General features: G+C 45.6%; 1 protein-coding gene across 13 annotated transcripts in view, besides 3 other annotated features; it reads left to right on the top strand.

The window, feature by feature from the left end:
* Positions 217 to 266: an enhancer, noted in NCBI's record as "active region_1721". NCBI's record gives its function as "activates an Ori minimal core promoter by ATAC-STARR-seq in GM12878 lymphoblastoid cells {active_cell/tissue: GM12878}" and the evidence as "EXISTENCE:reporter gene assay evidence [ECO:0000049][PMID:35858748]".
* Positions 487 to 7,384, top strand: part of POGZ (pogo transposable element derived with ZNF domain) — a 56,771-nt gene continuing 49,873 nt past the window's right edge. For 5 of the 13 annotated variants that reach the window (NM_001194938.2, XM_005245005.3, NM_145796.4 and 2 more), the window contains exon 1: positions 487 to 829. Coding sequence is in view for 5 of the 13 variants with exons in the window: in XM_047450068.1 (XP_047306024.1) it covers positions 922 to 941 (20 nt within the window). In the remaining 8 variants the exon portion in view is untranslated. Of the gene's footprint in view, positions 942 to 5,078; positions 5,955 to 7,384 lie in introns of those variants that run through there. The other 8 variants (XM_047450068.1, XM_017000748.2, XM_047450065.1 and 5 more) reach the window with 2 other exon arrangements.
* Positions 1,097 to 1,146: a silencer, noted in NCBI's record as "silent region_1322". NCBI's record gives its function as "represses an Ori minimal core promoter by ATAC-STARR-seq in GM12878 lymphoblastoid cells {active_cell/tissue: GM12878}" and the evidence as "EXISTENCE:reporter gene assay evidence [ECO:0000049][PMID:35858748]".
* Positions 1,337 to 1,386: a silencer, noted in NCBI's record as "silent region_1321". NCBI's record gives its function as "represses an Ori minimal core promoter by ATAC-STARR-seq in GM12878 lymphoblastoid cells {active_cell/tissue: GM12878}" and the evidence as "EXISTENCE:reporter gene assay evidence [ECO:0000049][PMID:35858748]".

Here is a 7,384-nt window from a genome sequence, read left to right as displayed (position 1 = left end):
GCTTGAGGATCAAAATGGCTTTTAAAAGTTCTTCACTTAAACAAGGCCGCAGCCACAAGGTTACTTGGCCGAGTGTCTCTTGAGAAAGAGTGAGTGCCATTTTGTTCTTTGTTCCAATGACAGTTGTTGGTGCCACTGGGCCTCACCACCTGGCCTGTGTCATGAAGTCTCCCTCTTGACTGGGTCTAAGCCTTGAGTGGAAAGTGGGGGAGCCTCCCAACACTTCCTTGGAAACTCTTGGCAAGTAAATTGGGGAATATTTTCTTTGGAAGTCTCATTTTTCTCACCAAAATTTAGATATAGCTTCTGAAGCTAATTATTCTTTTTTCATTACAAAAAATGTTTTCCTTTATTTATTTATTTGCAGGCCCAGCCAAACTTGACTAGAAAAGAAGCCCGGGCAGGGGTTTGGATGAGCCCATGACGTGCAGCGCGCTCCGACCAATTGGGAGGCCGTGAAAAAGGGGAGGGCGGAAGTGACGAGCCGTATCCCTCCGCGGGGCGAGAGGGTCGGTGGGGGGAGTCGGCGTCTCTCTCCCCCGCGCCAGCTCCCGTACACGGAGCCGCATTCCTTGGCCCCCCCACCCCCCTCCCTCGGGGCCCCCCCGCCCCCCTCGGGAAAAAAATCCACCCCGAATCACTCGAACCCGAGGGAGGCTTCCTTTCACCCTTGGGGAGACGAGCTTTCAACGGTTACCTCTTCTTCGTCTCCCCCCAAGCCCCCGTCCCCTCCCCCTGCTCCCACCCCCTTCTGGCGCCGGGTGTAAGGTCCCTTTAAGGCGACGGCGCCTTCCTCGGGTCAGACTACCGGCGGCGACGACCACAGGAGGTGAGTGAGCGAGCGAGCCTTCTCTCTCCCCACCCCCTGCTCCCGGGGGTTCCGTTATCTTTTCGCTCGGCGAGGCGTTCAGAGGCGAGACAATGAGAGGGGGATGGGGCCGGTACGCGCGGGGGTGGGGGCGGGGGGCCGGCGGTGCGCGCCCCCGCCCACCGCGAGTGGCGGCGCGGCCCGCGGCAGGGGCGGCCGCGGGGTGCGGCGCGCGAGCGCGAGTGTGTGTGCGTGCGCCCCGGGCCGCGGGAGCCGCGCGAAGGGCCGGCGGCGGAGGTCCCTGCCTGCCGGCTGGCCGGCCGCCCCCGCCCCCCGGCGCCCGCCGCGGCGCGCGCGCGCGCACTCGCGCCCCACGGCCCCGCACACAGCCCGACGTCCACACGCACGCTCGGCGCGAGGCGTCTCGGAGGAGTGGGCGGCGCGGGCGCGGGCGGTGGCCCGCTGGGGAAGGGGCGGGGGCGGGGGCGCGGGCGGTGGCGAGACGGCGGGGCGCGGCGGGAGGGGCCGGCGAGGGGGCGAGGCCGTGCGGCGGAGGGGCGGGCGGCGGCGGAGCGGCCCCTGGGGGTGGGGGTGCGCGGCCCTCCCCGCCCCATTCCCGCTCCGAGAAGGAGTGGGGCGCTCGTTTTGAGCGGGAGGAGGAAAATGAGTGATTGCTGAGCCGATCCCTTGTGTTATGTAATCTCTGCTTGGTCTAATAGTACATCCTAAGCCTTAGTGCACTGCAGCTAGTTTACGAAGTCTCCTCCCTCGGTCCCCAAATTTCTTTTGGGATGGCGCCGTGATTTATAAAATGGAATGAGGCGGGGAATCTTTATTTTCTGGTGATTATGTCCTGCCGCGGTGGGCGCCATGTTTATCCCGGGGACTATTTTATTTAGATTCTTGGCACCTTTTGCAAAGGAGTACTGTCATTGATCTATTTGTTTTCCGTCTTTCTGCGTGTTGTTCTTATTTCCTTCCTCTCCAGATGTGGGATTCTCTCAAACTGCTAGTAGCACTTGTCTTAGACATTCTTAGTTCAGAAAAAGGTAGTGCTGATGAGTCCTTAGAGTCATTTAGTGGCCAGTCTCATTTTCGAAATGGAAACTAAGATGCAGTTGGACTATCTCACAGCAGCCGCCGTCTTGATGCAAGCGGTGTAGCCCGTCCTTCCAAGCCCGTAGACACCTCTTACCGCCGCTCAAAACTCCACAGAAATGGGGTTTTACTTTTTTTTTTTTTTTTGAGACGAAGTTTCACTCTTGTCGCCCAGGCTGGTGTGCAGTGGCACGATCTCTGCTCACTGCAACCTCCGCCTGCCGGGTTCCAGTGATTCTCCTGCCTCAGCCTTCCTAGTAGCTGGGATTACAGGCATGTGCTACCACGCCCGGCTAATTTTTGTATTTTTAGTAGGGACGAGGTTTCACCATGTTGGCCAGGCTGGTCTTGAACGCCTGACCTCAGGTGATCCGCCCGCCTTGGCCTCCCAAAGTGCTGGGATTACAGGCGTCAGCCACCGCGCCCGGCCGGGTTTTACTTCTGTAGGCATTTACCCAACTAGAGGAAAGGGAAACGGAGGGGGCAGGGAGGGCTGCTCGTTGGCAAACGATTAATTTTGAGACACTATTGCTCAGGGTCTGAGAGCTTGAACTCTGAATTCGAACTGTTAGCACAATCGTTCTCAACTTCGGGGTGCATAAAAAGTAACTTGAAGGTGGTTAAACGTACAATTTGGGGGGCCTCATCCCCCAAATTTATTTGAATGGAGCAGAGGGGGGTTGTCATCTTTACATTTTCAAATGAGCAGTCCTGGGGCTGAGACTGATTAATGTAACCACTACATTGAGAATTACTGGTCTAACATAAAAGTGTTCAAGATGTTGAAACAAGTGACACCTTGTGCCGTTGATTTCCTTCCCTTTTCCAGAGCTGTGTTGGTGGTGTATCTCAAACTAAAGGAGGTAACAGAATGGACTCTTGGGACGAACCTGATTTAGTTAGAGTTTCCACTCCCATCTTGAACTAGTGGTATAATGTAGGAAAGCAGTTCTCAAAGTGTGGACAGATGACCCATGGGGATCTCCTCTTACCCTTTCAGGGTAGCCTCAAGGTCATAACTATTTTCAAAATAATAGTAAGATGCTATTTATTGTTTTCACTGATACACTGATGGTTCAAAAGCAAGGCTGGGTAAAACTACTGGCGGTACCTTAGCACAAAGCAAGTCAGGGGCACCAAACTACTTGAGAATGCCCTTGAAGCAGTAAAATTTATTATTCTATTTTTATTTTTTTGAGGCGGAGTTTTGCTCTGTCGCCCAGGGTGGAGTGCAGTGGCACTATCTCGGCTCACTGCAATCTCTTCCTCCCTGGTTGTATTTTTAGTAGAGACAGTGTTTCGCCATGTTGGCCAGGCTGGTCTCGAACTCCGGACCTCAGGCGATCCACCTGCCTCGGCGTCCCAAAGTGCTGGGATTACAGGCATGAGCCACCGTGCCCGGCCTATTATTATTAAGTCTTAGCTTTTGACTACATGTCTTTTTAATTTTTAAGAATTTGTGATTAAATAAACATGGATAAAGCATTTATGCTGCCTAGGGAGGTGTGATTGTTGTCATGAAGGAAAAGCATTTGTGAGATTGGGTTGTGAATGAATGGCTTATTTCATGGAGTAGCATTTTTACTTGAAAGAACGACTAGCAGACTATGGTTTTTCACACTTAGTATTTGGCAGATATTTCTTGAAAATGAAGTGAGCTTGTCACTTTTAGGAAAACAACTGACAGTATTTATTACCAGTGATAAAATTTGGGTGAAAATTAGAATTTTTAAAAAGTTGACAGCTGGAGTTTGACAGCTTCCTAGTACTTAAAAGACTTTCCTTATGATATCAGTGGTTAAGGACTGCAATATTTTAAAATGTTGTTTAATGAAATATGTTATTTGGAAGATGGGCATAACTCAGTAAATCTAGGCTTTGCAAATGACCAATGCATGATGTTGCAAAATCAAGCAAAGGCAAAAGATCCTTTGAAAATTCCAGACATAGCAATGGATTTTAACAGTAAAAAAGTGGATTGATGTGGTTTCAGATTCCAAAATGTTAACTGTCCTTTAAGAAACTACTATTTGGCCTAGCGTGGTGGCTCACTCCTGTAATCCCAGCACTTTGGGAGGCCAAGGTGGAAGGATTGTGTGAGCCCAGGAGTTGGAGTTGAGCCTGGTCAGCATAGTGAGACCCTGTCTCTATTTATTAAAAAAAAAAAAAAAAAAAAAAAAGAAAGAAACTACCGTTTGTTGAGTTTTAGTATTTACCAAACACAGTTATCTGAAAAGGTTATTAAAATACTTCTCCCTTTTCCGACTAGATTTTCATTATATACTTAACCAAAGCTACATATAGCAACAGACTGAATGCAGAAGTAACTGTGAGAATCCAACCATCTTTTATCAAGTTAGACATAAAAGAGATTTGCAAAATGCAAAACAACGTTACTTTTCTCACTTTTTGGAGGGAAAGTATTTTTTGTTGAAATGTTATTTATGTTAACTTATAATGGGCTTGTCTTAAAATACATTGATAAATACTACATTTTAAAAATTTGTGGTAAATGTGGAAAGATAAAATTCACATAAACAAAAGATCTTTGGCGTCTTCAATAATTTTAAGAGTCAAAAAAATGAGAATCATTCAGTCAGTCCTATGTTTCTGCTCTTTACATCATTCAAATCTAACTCCCTTGGGGAACTTGGGAGAATTTATAAATAGTTGAAGTTGATGGAAGAGGCAGTGACCTGGGGAAGAATTCTAAAGCAAAAAAAGCTTGCTTTGAATCCTAACTGGGATATTTACTAACTGTAACCTTGAGGAAGTTACTTCGTCTCTCTAAACCACTGTTTTGACCTTATCTGTAAAATAAAAACTTTAGAGCTGGTTGATTACAAATCCTAGAGCTGGTTAATGCCTTTGCCATAATATCAATATGGTAACATTTTGATAGATTCTTTGGTATTCTTGTTTGTGATATTAAGCCATATTCACAAAAACTTGTCTTTTTTTTTTTTTTGAGATGGAGTCTCGCTCTATTGCCCAGGCTGGAGCGTAATGGCGCAATCTCGGCTCACTGCACCCTCCGCCTCCTGGGTTCAAGCGATTCTCCTCCTTCAGCTTCCTCAGTAGCTGGGATTACAGGCACGCGCCACCACACCTGGGTAATTTTTGTATTTTTCTAGAGATGGGGTTTCACCATATTGATCAGGCTGGTCTCAAACTCCTGACCTCTTGATCGACCCGCCTTGGCCTCCCAAAGTGCTGGGATTACAGGCGTGAGCCACCACGCCCAACTGAAAAACGTATTTTTATATGTAACCAAGGGGAGGAGAGCAGAAAAGAGACACTAACCTATTGCTAGGTGTTAGCAGAGTTAAAAGAAATTGAAAGCATAGAAATGGAATTTAGGCAACACACAGCTGTCATTGAAGAAAAGTTTTCCATCATAGTATAGATATTTTTCTTGGGAAAGGGACTCCTGAATATTGAACCCCTTTAAAGAAGAGAACTTGTTGCTTACTTGTTTTAGTAAAGAGCACAGAACTAAATATTTGGGTGTTTCTTGATACAGGATTGGCTACCAGACAAGAGGAAAGTATTTTGAGTTTGGAAATTTTAGGTTATTAAGACTACTTAAAACCCTTATGATTCTTACATATGAGGTACTATAACAGATGTTGTGAGGGACAAAATGGGCTGTGCAAAAGACTGGATAAATAAAAGCTTATTACATGTTTAACTATAGTTTTATACACAGATTAAGTATTCAGCCCTATAGGTTTTCTGGTATTAGTCCTTTTTAGAGCCAAAAATTGAGGTAACTTGAAAACATAATTACCAGTTATGTTGAGGATTATCATTGTTTATTTTTCACCCTGGAACAAGAAAGTGGTATTCTTAAAATGTTTGTTTTCTGTAAAATATTTTTCCTGTTCCAAATGTTCTTTTTATGTTGATTTTTGGGCAGGTATGTACTGGCAGTAAGTTGAAAACGTTAGATACCAAATTCTTCATTTCTGAATTCTTCATTCTTCATTTCTGGACTTTACAGCTATGAAAGAACAAGACAAAGGAATTCAGAGCTTTCAAGAACCAAGTATGTCAGGATAGTTGTGGAAAACAGATCTTTTTCTCATTTTCTTTGAGATGAAGATAGGCAACATTTGCTGCCCATTAAATACCTTAAAAGTATACAGGTGTATCTGCAGGATTCTTTTTGCTGCTTTTAAATAGTATATTGTTTTAAAAGGTCTGTTTTTATCTTGCCTTTACAATTATATAGACTTTTATTGACTAGCTGATCATATAGGGCCTTAGTATAGACTACCATATTCGCCAGCATTTAAGAAATAGTCCCCTTCCCTCCAGGAGAGTATTTATCTGGTACTCCCATATTATGGATTGAAGGATGAGACAAGAGACTGAGTATTGCTAATAGTTCTGTGTGAGCCTGCAGTGTTAAGTAAAACCTATTGAGTGCACAAAAAAATCATGTTACAATTACTACAAAATAGAGAAACCACCTAGGTTACCAAGATGTCAAATAATGGATTAATGGAAGAAAGTAATGTACCTCCTTGGTAGCCTACATAATCCACCTTAATTTGTTATTTCTTATTTAACTATTTTGCTATGTCTTAAGAAATGTATATTAAGTGAAAATGGATGCATAAAAATAAAAAAAGAGAAATGTATATATACAAGCTACATGAAAATTGGTCCTGGGAATAAATCAAGAAATTCAACCAACAAGGCTACCAGTTATTTAGTAAATACCAAAGAGATAGGTGGAATGTAGCAGTACAGAATATCACAGCTAAGATATGAGTAGGTAGTTCCACTCCCTCCTACCCCACCTCAGTTTTTATTAAGAAAATTTCACGCATGCGAAAAGGGAGAAAGAGGCTGGGCGCAGTGGCTCACACCTGTAACCGAAGCACTTTGGGAGGCCAAGATGGGCGGATCACAAGGTCAGGAGTTCAAGACCAGCCTGACCAACATGGTGAAACCTGTCTCTACTAAAAATACAAAAATTAGCTGGGCGTTGTGGCGCATGCATGTAATCCCAGCTACTCAGGAGGCTGAGGCAGGAAAATCACTTGAACCTGGGAGGTGGAGGTTGCAGTGAGCCAAGATCACTCCAGCCTGGGCAACTGAGCGAGACTCCATCACAAAAAGAAGAAAAAAGAAAAGGGTGAAAGAATTCTACAAGGAACACTTAAACTATCCACCACCTAGACAGAGTGACTTTTTTTTTTTAAGACAGAGTCTCGCTCTGTTGCCTAGACTAGAGTGCAGTGGCACAATCTTGGCTCACTGCAACCTCTGCCTCCCGAATTCAAGCGATTATCCTGCCTCAGCCTTCCGAGTAGCTGGGACTGCAGGCACCAGCCACCACGCATGGCTAATTTTTGTATTTTTAGTAGAGACGGGGTTTCACTGTGTTGGCCAGGCTGGTCTCGAACTCCTGTCCTTGTGATCCGCCTGCATTGGCCTCCCAAAGTGCTGGGATTACAGGCGTGAGCC

Source organism: Homo sapiens, chromosome 1 (assembly GCF_000001405.40).
Source record: "Homo sapiens chromosome 1, GRCh38.p14 Primary Assembly".
Taxonomy (NCBI): Eukaryota; Metazoa; Chordata; class Mammalia; order Primates; family Hominidae; genus Homo; species Homo sapiens.
This window is presented reverse-complemented; position numbering and strand designations above follow the sequence as displayed.